The following is a 27,148-nucleotide window of genomic DNA, read 5'->3' as shown; positions in this document are numbered from 1 at the left end:
CTGAATAGAATGATACATAAACTCACCTGTTCATGAGACTTTAACTTCTCTTTTATAAGATCAGCACTTATTTTTAGTTGTTCATTTTCACCTGTGTAAGAATAATCAAAGAACATCATAATATATAGCACTTTTCAATTAATATGAAAATATGTTCAACATTTTAGCTTCCATTATGTATGCATTCAACAAACATGCATCCAGCAGCTGCTACACTTCAGGCACCATGCTAGACACTGAGAATATGAAAGTGAAAAGAGTTACTGCTCTTCAAAGAACTTACAGCCTAGTGCTGAGTCAAATGTGTTAGTAGTTATAATATGCTATGATAATTGCTCTTTAATGGCAGTATATCTGAAATACTACAGGAACCTGTAAAAAGAAAACCTAGGGCAGCTTGAAGTCAGGAAAGGATTTAGAGAAGAGAAGCTACTTGAGACGAGATTTAAGTGATAGGCTTACCCCATGTTAAGAGAGAGCATTCTAAATGCAGAAAATCGCACAGAAGACCATGGGCTTGAGTGAATATAGCTTGGAAAAACTACAATTCACGTACGGTATTGTTGAAGTGTAAAGTGTGAGCAGGAGATGCTATATAGGTTGGGATCCTATCACTAGGTAGACATATTCTACATATTCTAGATGAACAATTTTGGATTTTGGTTTTAGAGGTTACAGGGAGTCATCAAAGAATTTTGAATAGTGCAGAAGTGAAATAATGAGAGTTACATGCTAAAACGATTATCTGGCAATGTGGATGATGAATGAGAGGGTTTTGACCCTAGAGGAATGGAGATCAGTAACTATAGGTCAAGTAAGAGATAACAGGAACCTAAATTACGTCAGCGGCAGTATGGAAAAAAGGAAGCAATGAGGAGAATTATTATTTAGATGATAGAATTACCTAGGAATTTAGTGACCCTTTAGATAGAGGAGGCAAAAGAGAAAGGGGGAGCCTTTTCTTTTTAGGTTTTTGGTTTGGGTAACTGAAAACAATACCTTAATATTTTTAACAAATTTTAAAAACCCTGTGGTTAATTTTGATTACTAAACATCCAGGTCGGTTTAAAACTGTAATTTCCTATTTGATTGAAAGTTTTCATGATCCTTATCACTGGCTAGATCAGTGGCTGTAAAGAGTCAATAGAAGTGGGAAAGAAGTCTTAGTTTCCTCCTTAGTTGCTCTTCCCTGTCTTTCCTCTGGGTCATCTCTTGGGGGGTGGAGACAGGAAATGAGGAGAGGTAAAAAATTCTCTATTTAACTTCGAGGTTCCAGTCCTTTAGGTGGTTGTAGCAAATATATGCAGTCTGGACTCACTCCAACATTTGGCGACTTTTTAGCAGATGTCACTAGAATATGGAAATATGTAGCTATTTTGTTGTTAATTGTGGCATGTGCCCTAGTCACTAATTCCTGGTAAACAGGAAAAGCCTCAATAGACATCCTATTACAATTTCCCCTCTACAACCTTAACTATAAACACAACCAAGAAGTAGTTAAACAAAACAACAAATCAGTAAAGATTTTTGACATTATCTGAATAATGCTTTTAGGAAGGTTTGTTTTGTGGTATAGTAAAGTTGAGAGGAGCCTTGGAAATAGAGTCCACTTATGAAACTATTGCAGAGGTATTAAACCACAGTATTAAAATTAAAACCTTGACTATAAACAAAACTAAGAATTAGCTAAACAAAACAATGACAAATCAGTAAAGATTTTTGACATTATCTGAACAATGCTTTAGGAAGGTTTGTTCTGTAGTACAGTAACATTGAAAGGAGCCTTGGAAATAGGGTCCACATATAAAACTTGCAGAGGCATTATATCAAAGTATTAAAATTAAGTAAAGATCTAAAATCTATTAGTTTTCAAAGGTTGTGATGAGAAACCGATAGGAAAAGTGTTACACTTTTAAGGGTCATATTTAATACAAATCTTAATTCTGATGATGGTTTCAGTTTGTCAGATTGTGTCTTTCAAGAAATTAGTCCATTTCACATAGGCTATCAAATATTTGAGTTGAGCACAGAGTTGTTCAGAGTATTCCTTTATTATCTTCTTCTTCTTCTTTTTTTTTTTTATATTGAGATGAAGTCTTGCTCTTGTCCCCCAGGCTGGAGTGCGATGGCGCGATCTTAGCTCCCTGCAACCTCCCCCTCCTGGGTTCAAGCTATTTTCCTGCCTCGGCCCCCGAGTAGCTGGGATTACAGGCACACACCACCATGCCCGGCTAATTTTTGTATTTTTGGTAGAGATGGGGTTTCACCATGTTGGCCAGGCTGGTCTCCTTTATTATCCTCTTAATGAACATGACATTTGTAGTGATGTCCTTTCTTTCATTTCTGATATTATTAACTTGAGTAATCTCTCCTATTTCCTTAGTTCATCTGGCTACAGACTTGTCAATTTTATTGATCTTTTCAAAAAAACAGCTTTTAGTTTCATTGCTCTCTATTGATTTCTTGTTTTCAATTTTATTAATTTCTGCTTTATTTTTGTTATTTCTTTTTTTTACTTATTTTGGATTTAATTTGTTCTCCTTTTTCTTATTTCCTAAAGTGGAAGCTTAAATTAATTTTAGTTTTTTGTTGTCTTCTCATATGCACATTTAACGCTATAAATATCTCTTTAAGCACTGTGGTTTTTGCAGCATTTCACAAATTTTAATAAATTGTATTTTTATTTAGTTCAAAATATTTTAAATTTTCTGTTGATATTTGTTTTTTGACCACTGTATTATTTAAAAGTGTTCTTTAATCTGCATATATTTTGAGATTTTTCATCTACCTTTCTGTTTTTGATGTCTACTTTAATTCCATTGTGGCCTGACAGCAGACATTGTATGACTTCTGGTCTTTCAAATTTGCTAAGGTGTGTTTTATAAACCACAATGGGATCTATCTTGGTGAGTATTCATTAAGTTTGAGGAGAATGTGTATTCTGCTGTTGTTGGATGAAATAGTCTATAGATGTCCATTATAGTCAATTGATTGATGTTATTGTTGATTTCAACTGTGTCCTTACTGATTTTCTGATAGAAGAATGTTGAAATCTTCAACTACAATAGTGGACTCATCTATTTCTCCTTGCAGTTCTATAAATCTTTGACTCACATATTTTTGATGCCTTTGCTAGATGCATAAATAAAACAATTTTATGTCTTCTTGGAGAATTAACCCTTTTATCATTATGTAATACCCCTTTTTATCCTGGATAATTTTTCATGCTCTAAAAATCTGCTGTTTGAAATGAAGATAGCTACTCCAGTGTTCTTAGTGTTAGCACGGCATATCTTTCTCCAGCCCTTAGCTTTTAATCTATATGTGCCTTTATATTTAAAGTAGACTTTTTTTGTAGAAAGATATAGTTGGGTAATGTTTTTTGATCCGCTCTGATAATCTCTGTCTTGTAAACTGTATTAGGCTATTGATTTTCAAAGTGATTTTTGATAAAGTTGGATTAATATCTACCGTATTTGTTACTCTTTTCTATTCATAGACCTTGTTCTTTGATCCTATTTTTGTCTTCTATTCTTTTTCTGCCTTTTATGGTTTTGAGTATTTCACGTGATTCCATTTTCTCTTCTTTCTTAGCAAATCCATTATACTTCTAATTTTAGTTTTTTTTTTTTTTTAGTGATTGTCCTAGAATTTGCAATATACATTTACAATGAATTCAGGTCCACTTTCAAATCCATTATACCGCTTCTCAGGTAGTACAAGTACTTTATACTAAAGTATTCATAATTCCTTCCTCTCATTCCTTATGTCATTGATGTCATGCATTTCACTTATGCATAAGCTATAATTACTTAATAATACATTGTTGCTATAATTTTGAATAAATTGTTACCTGTTAGATCAATTGAGAATAAGAAAAATAAAAGTTTTTATTTTACCTTCACTTATTCCTTCTCTAATGTTCTTCCTTTCTATGTAGATCCAAGTTTCTGGCCTATATCATTTTGCTTCTCTCCTCTTTCATCATTTCCTGCAAGGCTGGTATACTTGCAACAAATACCCTCAATTTTTGTCTAAGAAAGTCTTTATTTCTACTTTCTGGACAATAATTTTGCAGGATGCAGAATTATTGGTTGGTGTTTTATTCTATCTCTCTCAGCACTTTAAAATATTTCACTCTACTCCTTTACTGTTTGCATGGTTCCTGAGAAGAAGCTGGGTATAATTCCTATCTTTGGTCCTCTATAGGTAAATAATTTTCCTCACTTGTTTCAAAATTTTTTCTTTGTTTTTTATTTTCTACAGTTTGAATATGACATGCCTATGGGTAGTTTTTTGAGCATTTACCCTGCTTGGTGTTCACTGAGCTTCCTGGATCTGTGGTTTGGTATCTGATATTAATTAGGGGAAATTCTCAGTCATTATTGCTTCTGATGTTTCTTCTGTTCCTTTCTTTCTTTATTTTTCTTCTGATATTCCCATTAAGTGTTTGTTACAGCTTTCGTAGTTATTACACTGTTTTTGAATATTTTGTTACTTTTTTCCTAGTCTTTTTTTTTTTTCTGAAATTTCAGTTTCGGAAGTTTCTATTGACATATTCTCAAGCTCAGAGAATCTTTCCTGAAACTGAGAAATTATTTTCATTAGGCTATGTCTAGTCTACTAATGAGTCCAACAAAGGCATTCTTCATTTGTGTTACACTGTTTAGAGCCTTTAGCATATTAACTGTAGTTTTTTAAAATTTCTGGTCTAATAATTCCAATATCCCTGCCATTTCTGTGTCTGGTTTTGATGCTTTCTCTGTCTCTTCAAACTGCCTATTTTTTTTCTTTTAGTGTGCCTTGTAATTTTTTGTACAAAGCTCAAGACCAAGTACCAGTAAAAACGCCTAAGGTGTTGCAGAAGGAGAAGTATTCTATAGTCCTATGATTAGGTCTCAGTCTTTCAGTAAGCCTGTGTCTTTGGACTGTGAGTTACCCACATGCTTCTTAGTCCCTCTCCCCTTTGGTGAGATGGGATGGCTAGAATGGGCTAGAGTTGGGAAGGCTAGGGGGAGCTGAAATAGGATATTTTCCTCCCCTAAGGCAGCTTATCCTCGGCTAAAACCCCAGTAGTTTAGGCTCAGATAAAATAGCTTCTTTCAAGTCAGGCTTTGTTAAGAACAGAAGCTGTGGATTATTTCAAAATGGTTACTTTTCTTCTCCTCCAGCCAACAACATGAGGGAATTTTTCTCATATCTTAACTGTGAGATCTTAGTAGAGCTCTCACAGGTAAAACTTACAAAACTATAGGGGCTCTCCTATGGGATTGGGTCCCCTGAAATTTTTAATCTCTTAGATTTGACTACAATGAGCCATCTGCAATTCATCAAAATTACATTTTAGGGTTTCCTAGCCTGACAAACAGGGAGGTTTCTGCTCTTGTTAAGTTGTGATTCTCTGAGTCTGCCTCCCTGTCTCCAATTTTAGATGCATCAGTTTGTCCTGCGACCTCAGTTCTCTGATCAAAAGTCTAAGAATTGTTGATTTTTCAGTTTGCTCAATGTTTTACTTGTTGTTAGCAGGGCGTGACAACTTCTGAGATCCTTATATGTTTTACCAGAAAGATGAGGTACGTTTGAAGGATTTTCATTAAAGTTAGAATTCTATTTCCAAGTTTTATGTGCAAGTGAGAATACTTAAAAGGGACACATTTTCAGCCCTGAAGTTGCTTAATGGTGGAACCATTTCTAAAGATACAATGGTTTTTCCATAAATTAATTTTCCAAAATCAGTTAATTGGCCACTGTTGGCTGACATTTTTTCAAGTCTAACAGACTTTCACTACTTTTTAACTTAATATGCCTGATAAAGAGCTTGTATGGGGGTAGGAGAAGTGACAGCTCTGATACTTTCTTATTGTTGGCTTGTGCTTGCATTATTGTAATTATTATTGTCCTCAATATATGTTTTATTTTTTAAAACTACTTGTCCATTTTGAAAGGATTAGTTTGATTAGAACTAGCTAATTTTATCTATCAATCCTCTTATCCAGAAACATATAAACTGTACTACATGGCCATACACTGAAACTAGGGGAAAAAGTAAACATGCAATTGTTCAGTTTTAGAACTCCCATTCTCCTCAGAGAAAGAACCTTGTGTATCATGCGTGACATATAATTAACTTATAGATAGAAAAAGGAATATTATCCCAGTTATTAAATTTTTGTAAGATGACTGGCTTTGAATTTTCAGATGAAAATAAAGATAAATAAGAATTGCAATTTTTTTCTACATCTCATTGAATTATCTTTTACATAATCCATAAGTCCCTACTGAAAAGATTCATTGATAAGACTAAAGGAAGGTAGCATTTCTCTCATTGTAACTGAAAAGTCTCTTAAACCCAAAGGGTAATTGATTAATCAGCTCAATAATGTTACCAAAAAACCAGATCCTTTTAGTTTACTTTTCTTGCTATCCTCCAAAATCATCCTGCTGGCATGATTTTTAGACTAGAAACAAGAAATCTGAAACAATTTTAGGCATTATATACAGTCTTATAACAACCAGAAGAACATAGTCCATCTCTTGGGAGAGAGGAAAATTATTCCAAAAGAACTCCCTTGGAGCTTGGATGCGATCAGCTTCCCCTGAGGCATATGGTTAAGTGAATGAAGGGTGAATGTCTGAAAAAGAAAAACCGTTTCCTGTTAAGGAGAGAAAAGAGCTATTGGAAAGGAAACCACTGGGTAGCTTAAATAAGCAGATTAATCATACTATCTTGGCAATCAATTGGATGAAAATGGTCAAATATAGATAGTTCTTATCTATTACCTTGCTCAATCAAGGCTTGTAAAAGCATTGGGAAAGTGAACTCAATGAGTCATCATTTATTTGCAAGAGACATCATACAATATTCATTTTTAAGAATGGCTATTTTTTTTTTTTTTTTTGAGACGGAGTCTCGTTCTGCAGCCAGGCTGGAGTGCAGCGGTGCGATCTCGGCTCACTGCAACCTCCAACTCCCTGGTTCAAGTGATTTTCCTGCCTTAGCCTCTCGAGTAGCTGGGATTACAGGCATGTGCCACCACGCCCAGCAAATTTTTGTATTTTTTTTTAGTAGAGGCGGGGTTTCACCATGTTGGCCAGGATATGGATTACAGGCGTGAGCCACAGCGCCCGGCCAAGAAAGGCTATTTTAAAACTTGTACTTGCCTTGTACTGGATCTTAAAGAGAAAGTTTTCTGTTTTCTCCCATTGATTATGATGTTAGCTGTGAGCTTTTCATCTATGGCCTTTATTGTGTTAAGGCAAGATCCTTCCATGCCTATTATCTTCTCTATCTATGCCTATTTCATGAGAGTTTTAATCATGAGTGGATGTTGAATTTTGTCAAATGTTTTTTCTGTATCTATTGAGGTGTTCATGTGTTTTTTTCTATTCATTTTGATAATAAATAGAAAACACATGGTGTATCACATTGATTGATCTGTGTATACAGAACCATACTTGCATCCCAGGGATAAATCCCACTTGGTTAGGATATATGATCTTTTTAATGGGCTGTTGAATTTTATTTGATAGTATTTTATTGAAGATTTTTGAGTCTGTGTTTATCAGGGATATTGGGATGTAATTTTCTTTCCTTGCAGTGTCTTTGTCTGATTTTGGTGTCCGGGTGATGCTGGCCTCATAGGATGAGTTTGGAAGTGTTCCCTTTGCTTTTATTTTTTGAAAGAGTTTAAGAAAAAGCGGTATTACTTTTTCTTTGAGTGTTTAATAGAATTCCCATGAAGCCACCTCATCCTGGGCTTTTCTTTGGTGGGAGATTTTTGATTATTTACTCAATCTCCTTATTTGTCATTGGTGTGTTCCGACTATTTCTGACTCAGTTTTGGCAGGTTGTATATTCTTAGGTATTTGACTATTTCTTCTAGGTTATCCAGTTTGGTGGCATATAGTTGCTCTTAATAGTCCCTTATTATCCTCCTCACGCCCCCTAGGATTTCAGTTGTATCGTCTTCTCTTTCATTTCTGCTTTTATATATTGACATCTTTCTTTTTTTTTCAGTGTAGCCAAGCATTTGTCAATTTAGTTTATTTTTTCAAAAAAAACAAACTCCTAGTTTTGTTAAATTTTCTGTTGTTTTTTATTTTCTATTTGATTGATTTATCCTATAATCTTCATTATTTCTTTCCTTTGAGTACCTTTGGGCTTAATTTGTTGTTCTTTTTCTAGTTCCTTGAGGTGTAAAGATAGATTACTTATTGGATATATATATATTTTTTCCTTTTAAATTTAGGCTTTACAGCCATAAACTTCCCCATTAAAATGTCTTCTGCTGTATCCTATAGGTTTTGGTATGTTGTGTTTTCATTTGTCTCAGATACTTTAAAAATTCCTTTGGTTTATTCTTTGACTCAATGATTGTTCAGGAGTGTGTTTAGCATTTTTGCCTCTTCTTTTCAACATAGTGTTGGAAATCTTAGAGCAATTAGGAAAGAGAAAGACATAAAGGGCATCCAAATCAGAACAGAAGAAAATTATCCATATTCGCAGATGACATGACTATATACTTAGAAAACCTATTAGAACTAATAAACAGATTCAGTAAAGTTGCAGTATACAAAATCAACATATAAAAATCGATCACATTTCTATATACAAATTACAAAATATCTGGAAAGGAAATTAAGAAACAATCCTATACATAATGGCAATAAAAATACTTAAGAATTAACCAAAGAAGGTGAGAATCTTGTACACCAAAGAAGGTGAGAATCTTGTACACTGAAAGTAATAAAACATTGATGAAGGAAATGAAAGAAGACACAGATAAATAGATTAGAAGAATATTATTAAAATGTCCATACTATCTAAAATGATCTGCATATTTAATGCAATCGCTATCAAAATGCCAATGACATTCTTTACAGAAGTAGACAAAACAATCTTAAAATCCATATGGAAACACAAAAGACCTCAAATAGCCCAAGCAATCTTGAGTAAAAAGAACAAACCTGGAGCCACTGCACTACCTAATTTCAAAATATATTATAGAGCTACAATAATCAGAACAGTACAGCACTGTTAAAAAAAAAAAGACATGTAGATTATGGAACAGAATAGAGAACCCAGCTGGGTGTGGTATTTTAGTCACAAGGAAGGGAAAAGTTGTTTTGAGCCCTGGCATTGAAATAGGAGCATGAGTGCCCCTTTTTAACACTCCAAATTACAGGAATCACATATAAGATCAATATTTTATCTCACATATATAAGGTGCTTGTTTTAAAATAAAGGCAGAGGTCTAAGATGAGAAATGCTTATTTGATGTGAGTTTTATGTGGAAGGGGCCTTTAAGGCAATTTAGTCTAATCTCTGATATAGTAGAAGAAAATCTCACAGCCATCACAGCTGAGTCAGAACAGCACAAAATACTTGGTCTGTTTTGTGAATGGTAGGCCTGTTTGATTAACATGATTGTTACAGATAAGATAAGCTGAATGTGTTGACTTCACTTGCACAAATATAGTCTTAGTCTATGACAAAAAAATTAAATGGTAAACTATCACTGTGGTTTAAATAAAAAATTATGGTTTAACTAGTAATATCCACTCTTCAAAACTGAACACAAGATTATTAAAGACCAAGAATGCTACTGAGAATAAATAGAGTTCTAAATTTTTGAAGGTAATAACTATATGACCTATGTAAAACATCCCTTTATGTCACTATCAGATAGAACATGACTGAATTGTTCTGTTCAGGATAACATTTCTTATTTCATAATCATCTAGGAAAGTATTTTTAAGTAGTAAGGAGTCCTCTTTTAGCTGACAAATTGAAATTTATTATCAACCATGTAAAAACTTCCTATTTTTAAAGGTGCTCAAATACACAATGCTTTTTTAGATTTTACTTTTTTTTCTAACTTACCTTTCAAATTCTGTTGATATTCAATGGTCTGTTGTAGCCCTTTTATTATATTATGAAGAGTAGCACATTCTGAAATATAAAAGATAAATTTATTTTAAAATCCCTTGCTTTCATTTTGGAATTATTCTCTCAGTTGAAATTATTAAAATAAAATAATATTTAAGCCAGGCATGGTGATGTGTGCCTTGTAGTCCTATTGACTCAAGAGGCTGAGGCAGGAGGATCACTTGAACCCAAGAGTTCAAGGCTGCAGGGGGCTATGCTCATGCCATTGCACTCCAGCCTGAGTGACAGAGCAAGACCCTGTCTCTAAAAATAATAATAATAATATTTAATTTGAAATTACAAGATATTAATAAAGCAGCCAAGCACCTTAAATAAAATTATATAAAGGAAAAATATAATTTTTTTTTTTTTTGAGACAGAGTCTTGCCCTGTCGTCCAGGCTGAAGTGCAGTGGCACGATGTCGGCTCACGCAACCTCCGCCTCCCAGGCTCAAGTAATTCTCCTGCCTCAGCCTCCTGAGCAGCTGGGATCACAGGCACGCGTCACCATGTCTGGCTAGTTTTTGTATATTTTTGTAGAGACGGCGTTTCACCATGTTGGCCATGCGGTCTCGAACTCCTGACCTCAAGTAATCCACCTGCCTCAGGTGATCCACCCCCCTTGGTCTCCTAAAATGCTGGGACTATAGGTGTGAGCCTTTACTTTTAACTCACTCATTAAGCCAAATGAATTTCAAAACTTGGTAATGACTTTCCTAAAGCACAGAATAGTATGGGTCCTACCATGTGCCTAAGCAATCTCTGCCCTAAGTAGTAAGGCACACCTGCATATATCTGGGGAACTATAAGAAGTATGTCCATGCAAATCTTCCAGGAAAGAACATCCTAAGGAAAGGGAGTCAAATTATATTGTTTTGGTATAAGACAATGTGTGGTACAATTGTGTGGTATAAGACAATGCTTTTCTTACTCTATCTTCCAGTCTATCCTCTTAGTACTTAGGCTTGAGTCTTAGACCAAGAGATTAGCAATAAAAGGAGTAAAAACTCAGTAAGTAGTGTTCCAAGGCTTCAGCAACTGTGCTGCCAATGGCTGCTGACATAATAGAAGATAGAAGTTTCATTGCAAATATTAGAGCCTTGACATGCGCATTCAAGCCTTGACTATAATATTGGTAGCCACCAGCAACAGCCAAGATGGACAGCAATAGTAGTGGTAATTTCATTACTTTAGAAATCCACTTGGCTATTAGGGCTACAACAGCAGAGACTGTTTTGTTTTGCTTACTATTGATTCCTACTGTTTAGGACACTTGTGGTCCATAGTAGGCAATCCACAAATATTTGTTCAGTGATTATTGGGTTGATAGGTAATATCACAGTAAGCTGAAGCAGATAAGGGGTAAGTAGGGAATCTCTGGTATGAAAATAACATATGTTTTGTCGACTGAATGAAAGAACCAATACTGTGAAGGGAGAATTCAAAACTTTTCACCTTTTAATTAGAGATTCTGCACTCAGTCTCATGTACTTTTTCAACTATGCTGATAGAAATGAGAGTATTTTGCAGAAGTTTAAAGCTTTGTGATGCTATAAGGTGCTATTGTGGCTCTTCACTCCTCCCTGCTCTCCCTACCATCCCCACCATCTACTCAAAGTTCCCCTCATCCTCCATTTTCTCTATCCTGCTATTTCCCAGTAAGAGAATAACGGTTAAATTACATTTGACAGAAATTAGCTGAGAATCTGCTTCATGAGTGTCACTGTGCTAACTGATAGAATTCAAAAATTAAAGAGGCATAGACAGACTCTGCCATCACTTGTCTTTGTGCCTTTTAGAATAATGAATCCAGTGATTCATAGAATATAGTAGCTGAAGTTACTTCAGTAATCCGTAAATTGAGAACAGAACCCTGCAACTGAATGTTTCAAAAATGTGTATTTTCAAAACTTAAACACAAGGTGGCTCTCTCACCACATTTTTCTACAATGGAGCATAGATAAATTCTTCACGAGAATACCATTCACTAATTTTGAACAATGGCTTTTAATTCTCTTTGCAAAATTTAATCCACACTGTTTGTTGTTGTTGTTGTTGTTGGACTTTACTGTGTAAGTTGAAAATGCTGGCCTATTAAATTCTTCCTAAAAACCAGAGGTCAGAATATTAAGCTATTTCTTATACTGTATAATTTAGTAAATCAATAATCATTTTGAGCTCAAATGTGGGCTCTAAGATTAACCAAAAATATGAATATTAATATGTATTTCATACAATAGTTGCAAATATTAAAAGCAATTATACATGTAAAGAGTTTCCTGCAGTACTTGATTCTCAATACTAATATTATTACTATCTTTAACTGGCAAATAAATTATTTATCTGTCTGGCATCAAATGCAGAAAATAAAATGTCCATATATCATTCTTTGTTGTTGAATAAATTTGATCATGTGTAGTTTGCCCCTCCTTCCTAAGTGAATTATTACACACTTGGCTCCATAAGTTGTCATTCTTATGACAACTTATGCTTTTTGCTAAGTACTATCCAGCAGAAAGGACATTAGATTTAGAACAAATAAAATTGTATTTCTTAAAAATAATTTTTGTGGTTACATAGTAGGTGTATATATTTATGGGGTACATGAGATGTTTTGATAAAGGCATGCAATGTGAAATAAGCACATCATGGAGAATGGCGTATCTATCCCCTCAAGCATTTATCAACTGAGTTATAAACAATCCAGTTACACTCTTTAAGTTACTTTAAAATGTACAATTAAGTTATTATTGACTGTAGTCACCTTACTGTGCTAACGAATAGTAGGTCTTATTCATTCTTTCTATTTTTTTATACTCATTAACCAACCCCACCTCCCTTCCAGCCCCCCACTACCCTTCCCAGCCTCTGGTAACCATCCTTCTACTCTCTATGTCCATGAGTTTAATTGTTTTGACTTTTAGATCCCATAAATGAGAACATATGATGTTTGTCTTTCTGTGCCTGGCTTATTTCACTTAACATAATGATCTCCACTTCCATCTATGTTGTTGCAAATGGCAGGATCTCATTCATTTTTATGGTTGAATAATACTACATTGTGTATAAGTACCACATTTTCTTTATTCATTCATCTGTTGATGAACACTTAGGTTTCTTCCAAATCTTGGCTATTGTAATCAGTGCTGCAACAAAGAGTGCAGATCTCTCTTTAACATACTGATTTCCTTTCTTCTGTGTATATACCCAGCAGTGGGATTGCTGGGTCCTATGGTAGCTCTATTTTCATTTTTTCAAAGAGCCTCCAGGCTGTTCTTCATAGTGATTGTACTAATTTCCCTTCCCATCAACAGTGTACGAGGGTTCCCTTCTCTCCACATCCTCACCAGCATTTGTTATTGCCTGTCTTTTGGATATAAGCCATTGTAACTGGGATGAGATGAGATTTCATTATAGTTTTGATTTGCATTTCTCTGATGATCAATGATGTTGAGCACCTTTTCATATGCCTGTTTACCATTTGTATGTCTTCTTCTGAGAAATGTCTATTCAAATCTTTTGCCCATTTTTGGATTGGATTATTAGATTTTTTTCCTATAGGGGTGTTTGAGCTCCTTACATATTCTAGTTATTAATCCCTTGTCAGAGGGGTAGTTTGCAAATATTTTTTCCCATTCTGTGGGTTGTCTCTTCACTTTGTTAATTGTATCCTGTGCTGTGCAGAAGCTTTTAAACTTGATGTGATCCCATTTGTCTGTGTTTGCTTTGGTTGCTTGTGCTTGTGGGTTATTGCTCAATAAATCTTTGCCCAGACCAATGTCCTGGAGAATCTCCCTGATGTCTTCTTGTAACAGTTTCATAGTTTGAAGTCTTAGATTTAAGTTTTTAATCCATTTTGATTTTATTTTTGTATATGGTGAGAGACAGGAATCTAGTTTCATTCTTCTGCATATGAATATCCAGTTTTCCCAGCACCAGTTATTGAAGACTGTCTTTTCCCCAGTGTATGTTCTTGGCACCTTTGTCAAAAATGAGCTCACTATAGATGTGTGGATTTGTTCATGGGTTCTCTATTCTATTACATTGGTCTATGTGTCTGTTTTTATGCCAGTATCATACTGTTTTGCTTACTGTAGCTCTGTAGTATAATTTGAAGTCAGGTAATATGATTCCTCCAGTTTTTTTCATTTGCTTAGGACAGCTTTGGCTATTCTGGGTCTTTTGTGGTTCAATACAAATTTTCAGATTGTTTTTTCTATTTCTTTGAAGAATGTCACTGGTATTTTGATAGGCATTGCATTGAATCTGTAGATTCCTTTGAGTAGTACGGGGATTGTAACAATATTGATTCTTCCAATCCAAGAACATGGAATATTTTTCCATTTTTTGGTGTCCTCTTCAATTTCTTTCATCAGTGTTTTACAGTTTTCATTATAGAGATCTTTCACTTGTTGGTTAATTCCTAGGTATTCAATTTTATTTGTAGCTATTGTAAATGGGATTACTTTTTAAATTTCTATTTTAGGTTGTTCACTGTTGGCATATAAAAATGTTACAGAGTTTTGTATGTTGATTTTGTATTCTGCAACTCTACTGAAGTTGTTTATTCTAATAGTTTTCTTGTTGAGTCTTTAGGTTTTTCCAAATGTAAGTCCATATCATCTGCAAACAAGAATAATTTGACTTCTTCCTTTCCAATTTGGATGCCCTTTATATCTTTCTCTTGTCTGATTGCTCTAGCTAGGACTTCCAGTACTATGTTGAATAACAGTGGTGACAGTGGACATTCTTGTCATGTTCCAGATCTTAGAGGAGAGGCTTTCAGTTTTTCCCCATTCAGTATGGTACTAGCTTTGGGTCTGTCATATATTGCTTTTATTATGTTGAGTTATGTTTCTTCTATCTCAGTTTTTTGAGGGTTTTTATCATGAAGGAATGTTGAATTTTATCAAATCCTTTTTCAGCATCAATTGAAATGGTCATATAATTTTTAGCCTTCATTCTGTTGATATGATGTAACACATTGGTTGATTTGCATATGTTGAAGCATCCTTGCATCCAAGGGATGAATCCCACTTGGTCATGATGAAAGATCTTTCTAATGTATTGTTGAATTTGGTTTGCTAGTACTTTGAGGATTTTTACATCAGTATTCATCAGAGATATTAGCCTGTAGTTATTTTTTTTTATGTGTCTTTGTCTGATTTTGGTATCAGGGTAATATCAGCCTTGTAGAATGAGTGTGGAAGTATTCCCTCCTCCTCCTCCTCTGTTTTTCAGAACAGTTTGAGTAGGATTGGTATTATTTCTTCTTCAAATGTTTGAATATACAAGCAAGTCTCCTCCCTCAATCTCCCGAGTAACTGGGATTACAGGCGCCTGCCACCATGCCCGGCTAATTTTTGTATTTTTAGTAGAGACGGGGTTTCACCATCTTGGCCAGTCTGGTCTTGAACTCCTGACCTCGTGATCCACCCTCCTCGGCCTCCAAAAGTGCTGGGATTACAGGTGTGAGCCACCATGCCTGGTCGAAATTTAGTTAATAATAGTGGATCAATTGGCACATCTGCTGTAACAAATGTACCATACTAATGCAAGATATTAGTAATAGGGAAGTGGTGGGGTGAGAGAGTATACGGAAACTCTCTGTACTTTCACTCAATTTTTTTCTGTAAACCTAAAACTGCTCCAAAAAGTTTATTAATTTTTAGAGTCAAAAGTACAAATCCTTTCTTTGATTGTTTCTATATGCTGTGTCATACACTTAGAAAGTCCTTCTCCATTATAAAAATAAAAACCCTACATTTCTCTTCTAGTTTTTCTGTGGTTTCATCTTTTTAACTTTTAATAAACTTTACTTTTTAGGGCTATATCTTCAAACCTTGGCTGTGACAATATCTCAGAGTTTCCTTAGTTTTGATGACTCTGACAGTTTTGCAAATACTGATCAGGTATTTTGTAATGTCTATGAGAATTTTTCTGATATTTATTTCATGATTAGACTAGGGTTATGGGTTTTGGGGAGAAAGACCACAGAATTGCCATCTTTATTGTATCTTATCGAGAGTATATACTATCAATATGATATAACAATTTATGTTGATCTTCTGCTGAGGTAGTATTTGTCAGGCTTCTCCACTTTGTAGTTACTTTTCCCCTACCCTCACCCTTTCCATACTGTGTCTTCACTATAGTAAAGAAAGTGACTATATTGAGCCCACGATTAATGAGTGTGGAGCCATGCTCTTCCTCCTCGAGGGCAAAATATCTACGAAAGTCATTTGTAATTCTTCTGCACAGAAGATGTGTGTCTTCTTCCCCAATTGTTTATTTATTAAATCATTTATTTATATCAGTAAGGATTTATGGATGTTTATTTTATACTTTGGGCTAGCTCATGTTGTTCCAGTTTCGGCTCTTTCAGTTGGCTTTTGTCTCACTTTCAACATACTCCCATCACTGTGGGGTGCTTTTTGTTTGTTTGTTTTTTCCTTTTTGAGGACTTTCTTACTTTCTGCCCTTACAAGATGCTTGAGGCTTATTGTGCATATTTCCTGCCCCAGTGCTATAATCAGCCATGTCTCAAAAAAACGTTGGTTCCTTTTATTAGAGAATGGTGTAAGGAACCAAGATCTGGGAACCAGGTATGTTCAATGTCAGTGGGGCATTATTGCCTCTAGGCTCTCTCAGATGACAGAGCAAATCAATATATGTGTACAGATTCATTTTTAACACAATTTTTTTGACACATTTGACATTTATTTTGATGTAATTATAAGGTAGAAATTCAACTTAATTTTTTTCCCTATGGTTTTTATAGGCCTGTATTGAGACTTCAATTGGCCATTTCTTATTGGCCTCAGAAAGTTGAGCAGTCTCAGAAAGATTATTTAACTTGTCTCATTCTATGTTTCTTCATTGGTGAGGTAGAGTAATAATACCCATCTTACATGTCTTTCAGGGCTATAGTAAGGATATAAATGAGATGATAATCTGGAAAATTCTATGTGGACTTAAAACACTTTACAAATATATGGTGTAATATTAATCACTGTTGAACTGAAAAACACTTTCATTAGAATTAGCATTCCTCAGGCAGCAAATAACTAACCTTCTTTAATGGAGACCTCCTTTGCTTGCATTACTTTTAATAGGCAATTACTTTTTTCCAACTGAATATCCAGTATATTGTTCTTTCCATTGGTTTCTACCATTTTCTGTAGAAGAAATAGAATACTTATTATTAACAAATCAATGCTGCTAGTTTAATTTTTTATTAAGTATATGCAGACTAATGAAAATACAAACCACTTAATATCTGATAGTCTAATAAAAAAATACATATACAGTCATGTACTGCATAAAGACATTTTGATCAACAACAGACTGCATATAGAACAGTGGTGCCACAAGATTATAATGGAGCTGCCCTATACAAGTGTAACAATTTTATCTTTTATACCATATTTTTACTGTACCTTTTCTATGTTTAGATATACAAATACTTACCATTATGTTACACTTGCCTCCAACATTCAGTATAGTAACATGCTGTCCAGGTTTGTAGCCTAGGAGCAGTAGGCTATACCATAAAGCCTAGGTGTGTAATAGGCTACACCATTTAGGTTTGCGTAAATATACTCTATAACATTCACACAATGATAAAATTGCCTAATAATGCATTTCTCAGAACATATCCTTGTCATTGAGCAATATATGACTGTATTTTAAATAACCCCACTTCCCAATTTATTTTCAAATTAAAAAGTAACATGGTAAAATATTAAAACAGACTAGCAGTTATAAATGAAAAGTAAAAATATGACCTAACTTGAACCACTTTCTTTCCAACTATTCAACTCTCAGTCCCATGGTTAACAATTCCTTATATATGTTTCCAAAATATTTTATGACTGTACAGCTATAGAAAGAAATCATATTATATTCTGTTCTGTGCCTTGGCTGTTCCGCTTAGTACTATTATCTGGGAGATGATGTCATGTAAACCCACATAGATCTACCTCATTCTTTTTTTTCTTTTTTTTGAGATGAAGTCTGACTCTGTTGCCCAGGCTGGAGTGCAGTGGGGCAATCTTGGCTCACTGCAACCTCTGCCTCCTGGGCTCTAGCAGTTCTCCTGCTTCAGCCTCCTGAGTAGCTGGGATTACAGGGGCACGCCACCACACCCGGCTAATTTTTTGTGTTTTAGCAGAGACAGGGTTTCACCATGTTGCCCAGGCTGGTCTCAAAATCCTGAGCTCAGGCAATCTACCTGCCTTGGCCTCCCAAAGTGTTGGGATTACAGGCGTGAGCTACCGCACCTGGCCTACCTCATTCTTTTTAACAGCTACATTCAGTTTCATTTTTGAATATGCTGTAATTTATTTAACCAGTCTCTTACTGAGAGAGAGACAGACAGAGGCCATATTCTACTTTTTGTAATGGTTAAACATTCTTGACCATATCTCTTGGGTATTTTTGTGAATAGTATAATAAGCCTCCATATACTCTTCAAATAGCTTCAAAAATCAACTCATGAACAGTCTTATATCATCTGTATCTCTATCCACTGCCCTAGTCTCACCACTTTTGAATTGATCTCAAAGCAACTCTCTGACATTATGTTATTTCATCTGTTAATATTACCATCCATATGTATCTCCAAGAGACGACTCTTTCAAAATATGGCCACAATACCATCATCACCTCAAAAATGAACAATTATTTCTTATTTAAAGTGTTTAAGAATATGACAGATATTTCCAAATTAATTTCCAAAATCATTGCACTAACTCCTTTCCCACCAAAAATGCTTCTTATTCCTTTCTCTTTTATCTCTTATTATGTTAGGAATCACTCGGTTAAGAACACTTAACTTTACCGTTTAAAAAAAGCTCATGTTACTTCAAAATACGCATGATCATAAAAATTCTTTCATTATGACATTTGTGTGTGTGTGTGCTGACGAAAAGAAGGAATAGAAAAGAATTACAAGAAAAGAAGAGAAAACAGAAGTAGATATTAGCCTCCCTCCCACTCTTGCTTCACAAAGTCACTTCCCAATTCTTTCATTTAACCACCTACATTTTTCAACAGCTATTGAAGGCAGAGGAGGGAGGATAAACCCAATACACACTTGTGGGTTTGGTCTACCATTTGTCCAGAGTTGGGGAGACAGACTTTAAATGGCTTTGCTTTTAGGCAAAAAAGAAGGAAAATGGAAGAGATAGAACAGGAAATACTAAAAAATGAGTAGTTATAATAACAGATTGAAATATGCATTTACTTCAATGTTTACTAAAACCATTCCTGAGTTTATGGACAATGTAGGCTTTCTTTTTTTTTTTTTTTTTTTTGAGACGGAGTCTCGCTCTGTCGCCCAGACTGGAGTGCAGTGGCGCGATCTCGGCTCACTGCAAGCTCCGCCTCCCGGGTTTAGGCTATTCTCCTGCGTCAGCCTCCGGAGTAGCTGGGACTATAGGAGCCTGCCACCACGCCCGGCTAATTTTTTGTATTTTAAGTAGAGACGGGGTTTCACCGTGTTAGCCAGAATGGTCTCGATATCCTGACCTCGTGATCCGCCCGCCTCGGCATCCCAAAGTGCTAGGATTACAGGAGTGAGCCACCGTGCCCTGCCTGGACAATGTAGGCTTTCAAGTATAGCAATTCCCTTTTATCCATGGAAGGATATGTTCGTGACCTCCAGTGGATGCCTGAAACCACAGATAGTACTGAACCCTATATATAGTATGTTTTTACCTCTACATACATAACTATGATGAAGTTTAATTTATAAATTAGGCACAGTAAGAGGTTAATAACAATAATAATAAAATAGAACAATTATAATATACTGTAGTAAAAGTTACATAAATGTGGTCTCTCTCTCTGAAATTATCTTATTGTACTGTACTCACCCTTCTGATAACCGAGGTGGCTACCAAGTGACTAACAGACAAGTGGTCTATAATACAACATGGATACACTGGTCAAAAGGATGAATCACAACCTGGGCAGGACTGACAGAGACAATGGAAGATTTCACCGTGCTACTCAGAATGGTGCAGAATTTAAAATTTATGAATTGTTTATTTTGGGAATTTCCCATTTAATAGTTTTGGACCACTGTTGACCTCAGGTGGCTGAAATTGTAAAAAGCAAAACCTCAGATAAGGGGACTACTATATGTATTTTCTGTTTGACTTTGGCAAAAGTACATAAATTATTTGTTTCCCTGTCATAGGGACATTTTGATGTATTAGTACAAATGAATCCAAGCCAGATATATTTTAAACATGGAGTTTTAAAATGAGAGAGAAGAGCATAGCAAAATATAATATTATTATCTTGATCATTTTTTGGTATATTTTTCTTTCTTCCCAACTTCTTCCCTTGGCAAAATCTGTTCCATGTATCCCTATATAGTAGAATTGTTTTCTATCTTTACATACCTTTTCTATCTGTGAGAAGTCATTTATAAGTTTGTCAAGATTCACACTGCTAATCTTTTTCATACATCCTTCACTGCTTTGGTCCATGCCTGAAAGTAGTAAACAGTAGATAGTGTTAAATAAATAAATAAGATCTAAAGCACCACAATAGTGTTCATAGCTCAAATACTAACATTTCTATATTCAACTCATAGGGCACCTACTTGGGCTCCATTGCACTGCGAGAATTTTTGTTATAACCAATATTAACAGTGGTCAAATGCATTGTCTTTTCCACTCCTTACCACCCACACCCCAGTTGACTTATTTATATTTGTTTCTTTACTGCATTAAAACCTAATGCAATATTAAATCTGAGGCATGACTTTTAACTGTAATTATTCTTAATTAAAGATGTTAAAAATACTTGTTTAACTATCATGTCACAGATGTTTTCTGCTGTTATGCTTATTTCTTATATTTTGTTTGGTAAACTGGTAAATAAAAGATGCATGGAAGTTAATGTGCTCAAAGCAATCTCTCTGCATTTCTATTGTCTTGTAATTTTGTATAAGGGATTAACCTTTGGGGATAGCCAGCTAACTGCTGAAGAATAAGAGTTTCAGTTTTAGTCCTATGAAATCAATCATAAGAACTTCTTCAGAATCCCAGAATGTAAATGCTGGCTATTTTGCAAAAGTCAATTTATCCATTCTGACTGGATGAGTTTACATCTTCAGATGTAATGTAAACAAGTATGAGACACTTGTCTTTAGATTTTTCTATAGCAAAGAAGAAAGGGAAAATACAAGTTTGAAATTCAGGGATGTTAGGTTGAGGAAAAAACATGAACCAATGTATGGTGTGTGAAAGCGGTAACTAGTCCAAAGTAAAATGTAAGTAAAATTCCTGATGTAGTTACTCAAAGCAATTTGGGGGCATATTATTGTTTAAAAGGAAGTTAACCAAAACAGATATTGCTTGACAATATGTTATTTCATCAAGATATCTCATTTTCTTCTTTTGAAATATTTTGCATTAGCAATTATTAATGGTTTTTAAATCTCAGATTTTTGGCTGTATATTTTGTTTCTTGAATTATTATCTCGAATTATTATCTTATGTATGACATATGCAAGCACAACTACATATAAAATCCCTTAAATAGTTAAAACTTGATCCTTACAGCAGAAAAATATTTGTTAATAGCCTCCCATGATACAGTAAAATTCCTTTTGGAGTAAAATTAAAAATAATTGCTGTTTGATAGTACTGTTATTCTTTAATAGTGCTACATAGTAATCTGAAGTAGTTAATGGAAACTCCCTCCACCCCCACCTTTTTTTTTTGGTACCTAACCTTTTAAATAAAAAAGGTTTTACTAGGGTTTTGTCTCAGAATCTGGCTCTTGAAATAAATGCATTTAAATTTGAGCTTGATTTTCTCTCAACTCCTTCCCCCAAAGAAGACCCTGTTATTTCCTTGTAAAACCATCACTAATATTCCATTTGCTATCGTTGCATGATATCCCTTTTGCCATAATGGCAGAGCCAGGCAATTCATTTCTAGGTATCTTCATTGCCTGCTCTTCTGATTTCTTAGGTCAAGATCCTTTCAGTGAATATGGTCTTGCCCTGTGAAATTCGGTGTCAAGCTGGTGATTCAGTGCTTGTCAAATTCCTTAGTGAGCCGCAGAGACTGATTTGTGACCTTCAAGGCTCAGCTTCAACCGTCCCCACAGGCAAGTGAAAGTCCCATTTCCTTCTTTGTCTTCTTGCCTGCTGGCTTCAACCATCCCCACAGGAGCGTGACAGTTCCGTTTCCTTTTGGGTCCTCCTGTCTGCTGGCTTGAGTCCCGGGGCTCGTCCTCTCCCCTACCCCACACAGTTGGTCCTTCGCCGCTCGCCTGCCCCACGCTCTGGTCCCTCCTCTTTCCTCCTCACCTCCCCTCAAGAATTCACTCTCAGTCCTGAAGCCTGGGTCCCCTGGCTCCCTCTCCGTCATCCTAGTGTCCTTAGGGACCTAGCAGAAATAAAGGATGGGGGCCGAGGACCCGCGGATGTGAGAGAAGTGCCTGAGACAAAAACCTGTATGGACCCAGAGCACTGTAAGGAGATAAGAAGAAAAGCATCTCTATGGAAAAAGCGGGAGTTTCGAATCGCTTTCTAGCGTCCTTAGCGGCCTAGCAAAAATAAAGGATGGGGGCCGAGGACCCGCGGATGTGAGAGAGGTGTCTGAAAAGAAAAGCCTGTAATGGACCCAGAGCACTGTAATGAAATATGAAGAAAGGAATCTCTATGGAGAAAGCGGGAATTTCGAACCGTCAATAGAATTTGGAGTGTACCTGCTGTTGCTCCTAGTTCCCCACAGTCTCCCTTTCCGCTGCCTCTGGGGCCTGGTACACCCCTGAATGCTGTCCCCTCCTCCGGAAGCCGAATCCCCCAACAATGGGCCCGCCTTTCTCTGGGCCCGCCCTGTGCGCTATGCTGGAGCTCCTACCACCAGCAGTTCTTACCAACTTGGCCCAGCTCCGCTCAGCATCTGCGGCTGCTTAGGTATTTTCATGTGGTTTCCAGAACATGAATCAACACCGGATCAATAATTGTTTCCCCAACCAAAGAATAAATCACATTGGGTGTTCTGAATTGTGAGTCAGCTCCATTGAATAAATAATTATCCATATCTATTTTTGTAACTTATAAAATTGCCTTTTAAAATTCCAGAGCCAGTTAATAGATATGGTTTCCCATCTACAGAGTTATATCTTGGTAGCTTAATGATTAAGGGCGTGGGCTCTTGCGTGGATTCAAACCCCAACTCTTCTCTTTTTCCGTGGGTGATAGTGGGTAAGTTCTTAATTTCATGCACCTAAGCATCTTCATCTGTATAAGAGATTAATTATAATGCCTGCCTCTGCCGGGCGCTGTGGCTCACGCCTGTAATCCCAGCACTTTGGGAGGCCGAGGGGGGTGGATCACCTGAGGTCAGGAGTTGGAGACCAGCCTGGCCAACATGGTGAAACCCCGTCTCTACTAAAAATACAAAAATTAGCCAGGCGTGGTGGCGGGCTCCTGTAATCTTACCTACTTGGGAGGCTGAGGCAGGAGAATTGCTGGAACCCGGGAGGCGGAGGTTGCAGTGAGCGGAGATCGCACCATTGCATTCCAGCCGAGACCCGCAGCAGCAAGACTCAGTCAAAAAAAAAAAAAAGAAGCCTGCCTCTTAGGACGGTTGTGATGATTAAATGAAGTGATGCATTTATAAGGTGCTTAATGGAGATCCTTGCTTAAAGTAAGTGTTCAGAAATGTTAATTATTAGAATTTTTGAATGTTGTTCAGTAATAGTTTGAAAGCGAATCCACTGCCAACTTTGCTCATCTGCTTTTTTTTTTTTTTCTGAGTGGGAGATGGGAGGTTTATTTTTGTTAATGTGATTTTTCGATAGACTCCAAAATTTGGCAAGTGAAAAAATATAAACAGTAATATGATAACCCATACTTTACTAGTTGAAAGGTAGTGTGGCATAATGGCAAGAAAATTAGGTTAAAGTGGAAAATGGGGGTTGTAGTCTTCACTCTGCTGCTCAAATAAGCTTTCCCTAACATTAGTAGCAACACATAGAAATATTGAAAATGACCTGCTGAATTGCGGGTTCTACCCAATTAGCAAATATAAAATGTTCCATGTAACTCATGTCATAATAACTTTTGAAACAAGCCCATTTTAAGACCCTAAATGCTAAAATGCTACCTTCTCCATGAGTCATTCACTGATCGTATCAATCAGTTGTGATCTACCTTTCCTTACTCTATGGAACATGCTAGCTTTCTGTGGCATTTGTTAAGACTGAATTGATGTATTACCTCTTTTGCTGTATTTATTATTGGCTCCTTGGGGGAAGAAACTCTATTTTCTTTATATATATATATATATATATATATATACACACACACACACACACACACACGCGCATGTATGTATGTATGTATGTATGTATGTATTAAGTTCCACCTAGGCCCATCCTAGGCAAATTTCAGGAGTCCTTTGAAAATATGTGGTGACTGGAATGTGTAAGGTGGAGAGGGAGCTCCCTAGATCCCCTGCCTCATCTGTACTTCCAAATCTTCTGGATGTTCCAACATTTGAAATACAGAAGCTTTGACTATCTAATGATTTTGGGATGTAGAGACTAAGAAAGTTGGAATATTATATATATATATATGTATATATGCAAACACACATATATGTATATATATATACACATATATATGTATATGTATATATTTCTCCATAGAGCCTACCATAGAGAAAATAGAAATGAACCAACACATCAGGAATAAGTCAGAAAAGTTTAGCTTAATTTTTCTAGTTTAGAATGGGTTGCAAGTTTATCTTCCAGTTTATAGATGTTAGCATTTTTTTCAAAGAATTCTAGTAGGTTTAGAGTGCATCTTTCAATGAGAAACTAAATGAACTTGTCATGATTTCATCTTTAAAAAGTGAATGTGTTTCACAGTTGTATTCACAGTCTTATTCTTCAGATACCATCCAACTGAGAAACAGAATTCATCAAATATTTGCTCAGAAAATATTCATTTTTGCTTACTACTTGGATGTGGGATCATTCATACACCACATGTCAGCAACATGCAATTTACTCATGTAGCAAACTTGCACATGTACCCCCCAAGCCCAAAATAAAAGTTGGGAAAAAAGAGAATATTTATTTTCTGATAGATCAAGGATTTATTTAATATATATTTTAAGACTGCCTGGAAAACCAAAATAGAGAAACAAACTACATTATTTTGTCATACTAACAAAGAAAGTAACACTGGAATTCATTAAAAATACCCTGATTTGGAAGAGAAATGCATATGTACCTGGGCAGCTGAAAAAAAATCAGAAGCTACCGGTTTATGTACATAAAGATCTTAAAATGAGTGATACATTGATTTTTTTAGGTTGAAAACAGCTTCACTCATTAATTCATTCTAAAATATTTAAGTACTTACAAAACATCAGCTGCTGCAAGTCTAGGCACTAAGGAGAGCAAAGACAAATAAGAGACTCTCCTTTTGCCTTGGAGCTTACAGTCTCAAAGGAGAGACTAGCAGAGGATTGAAATCTAGTGTATGTTATTGGCAATATTGCTCTGGCATTGGAATCTCACTTGATTATTTTAGTTACTATCACCGGCATATTATAACAACAAAATATTATGGTGTTGCTCCCATATCACAGCAAATGTTTATAAGTGGTTTGGCTAATCTATGGAGTCCTTTGTTCCAGCCCTATTATTTAACTCTCTCGATATTCTTACCTCTGTTTAGGCCATGCTTTTTGTCTTTGAATCAAATTCACCAACTGCTGAAATTTCAGCTTGCTCTCATTTCCATGAATATTTATTTAAAAATGCTACATACATATTTCACCTATACAAGGTGAAATATAAATTAGAAATTGAAGAGCAGTAGAGAAATAAAACAGAAATACTCTGGCCTGTAGGTCAACAAAGTTTTTATATTTCTGCTACAAATTTGGCTTTGAATTTACTGATGGTTGGAATAAAAAAGGATACAGGCTTAACTACTTAGTTTATTTATTTATTTTTGTAAAAGAGGAGAAAACATACAAGTTTCTCAGGAGGAACCATGTTCCCTAACTCTAACTTCTTAATTTTTCACATTAAGATTCATATAGGAGGCACTGGATAATTTAATAGGCAATTTCCTCAATATTAGCCTGAGAGTAAAGGTGGAAATGAGCTTTTTAAGACACTTTCGAAGTATCTCTATGAAAAAGGCTAGATTGGATCAGAAATGGCAATCATAATGAATCATGATCTAGGCCCCTGCTTTTCAAAGTGTGGTCTCTGCACCAGCAACATGGGCATCGCCTGCGGGCTTGTAAAAATGCAGTCTCAGACTCTATCCCATAACTGCTAAATCAAAGTCTGCATTTTAACAACATTACCAGGTGATTCATGTGCATATAAATGTTTGAGAAGCATTGATCTTCTGTGTAGAAAGCTTTTAGAGCTTTTTATTTCTTTCCTTTGCCTTTTTAAGATTATCAGTAATTACACATTTATTTATTCAAGAAATACTTGAGCACCAACTATGTCCTGAGGTCTATGAGAAAACTAGGAATAAACAAAACAGATTGGCCCCTGACCTTAGAGGACTTATAGTTTAAAAGGGAAATAGGTAATACATTGAGTAAATTACCTATACATAAAATTGTAATAAGTGCGAAGAAACACAAATCTATGATATCGATTTTAAAAGTGAGTGGGAGGTGCTTCAGTTACAGTGATTGAGGACAGTCGCTGAGTAGATAAGATAAAAGTGAGAACTGAAGGGCTAACATTTTAATGTACCCTTCAGGTCTCACTTTTATTTTATTTACTCAGCGACTGTCCTCCATCAAAATGTTAGCTGTGGGTGGCTGGGCATGATGGCTCACGCCTGTAATCCCAGCACTTTGGGAGGCCGAAGTGGGTGGATCACTTGAGGTCAGAAGTTTGAGACCAGCCTGGCCAACATGGCGAAACCCCATCTCTTCTAAAAATATAAAAAAAAAAAAATTAGCCGGGCATGGTGGCAGGCACCTTTAATCCCAGCTATTAGGGAGGCTGAGGCAGGAGAATCCCTTGAACCCCGGAGGTGGAGACTGCAGTAAGCCGAGATCACGCTACTGCACTCCACAGTGAGTGACAGAGTGAGACTCTGTCTCAAAAAAAAAAATGTTAGCTGTGGGCAACATTTAAATGCTAGGGTTACTTTTAACCTCTACTTGATCTCTTGATGCACTATCTCCCTCCTCT

The 27,148-nt window shown here is 35.8% G+C and overlaps 1 protein-coding gene across 2 annotated transcripts in view, besides 2 other annotated features; it reads right to left on the bottom strand.

Moving 5' to 3' along the window:
* Positions 1 to 22,731, bottom strand: part of CCDC152 (coiled-coil domain containing 152) — a 45,622-nt gene extending 22,891 nt beyond the window's left edge. The window contains exons 1-5 of one of the 2 annotated variants that reach the window (NM_001134848.2): positions 22,664 to 22,731; positions 20,341 to 20,429; positions 17,001 to 17,106; positions 9,884 to 9,952; positions 27 to 91 (exon numbers count right to left, since the gene is read on the bottom strand). In NM_001134848.2, the coding sequence (NP_001128320.1) occupies positions 27 to 91; positions 9,884 to 9,952; positions 17,001 to 17,106; positions 20,341 to 20,427 (327 nt within the window). In that variant the 5' untranslated portion in view covers positions 20,428 to 20,429; positions 22,664 to 22,731. Of the gene's footprint in view, positions 1 to 26; positions 92 to 9,883; positions 9,953 to 17,000; positions 17,107 to 20,340; positions 20,430 to 22,262 lie in introns of both variants that reach the window. The other variant, XM_047416584.1, reaches the window with a different exon arrangement.
* Positions 21,675 to 22,174: an enhancer, noted in NCBI's record as "H3K4me1 hESC enhancer chr5:42757477-42757976 (GRCh37/hg19 assembly coordinates)". NCBI's record gives its function as "activates a minimal SCP1, AML or CMV promoter by ChIP-STARR-seq in primed H9 embryonic stem cells {active_cell/tissue: H9 hESC(primed)}" and the evidence as "EXISTENCE:reporter gene assay evidence [ECO:0000049][PMID:30033119]".
* Positions 22,175 to 22,676: an enhancer, noted in NCBI's record as "H3K4me1 hESC enhancer chr5:42756975-42757476 (GRCh37/hg19 assembly coordinates)". NCBI's record gives its function as "activates a minimal SCP1, AML or CMV promoter by ChIP-STARR-seq in naive and primed H9 embryonic stem cells {active_cell/tissue: H9 hESC(naive and primed)}" and the evidence as "EXISTENCE:reporter gene assay evidence [ECO:0000049][PMID:30033119]".

This window comes from Homo sapiens, chromosome 5, assembly GCF_000001405.40.
Source record: "Homo sapiens chromosome 5, GRCh38.p14 Primary Assembly".
Taxonomy (NCBI): Eukaryota; Metazoa; Chordata; class Mammalia; order Primates; family Hominidae; genus Homo; species Homo sapiens.
The sequence above is the reverse complement of the archived record's forward strand: the minus strand, read 5'-3'. Positions and strand labels throughout refer to the sequence as shown.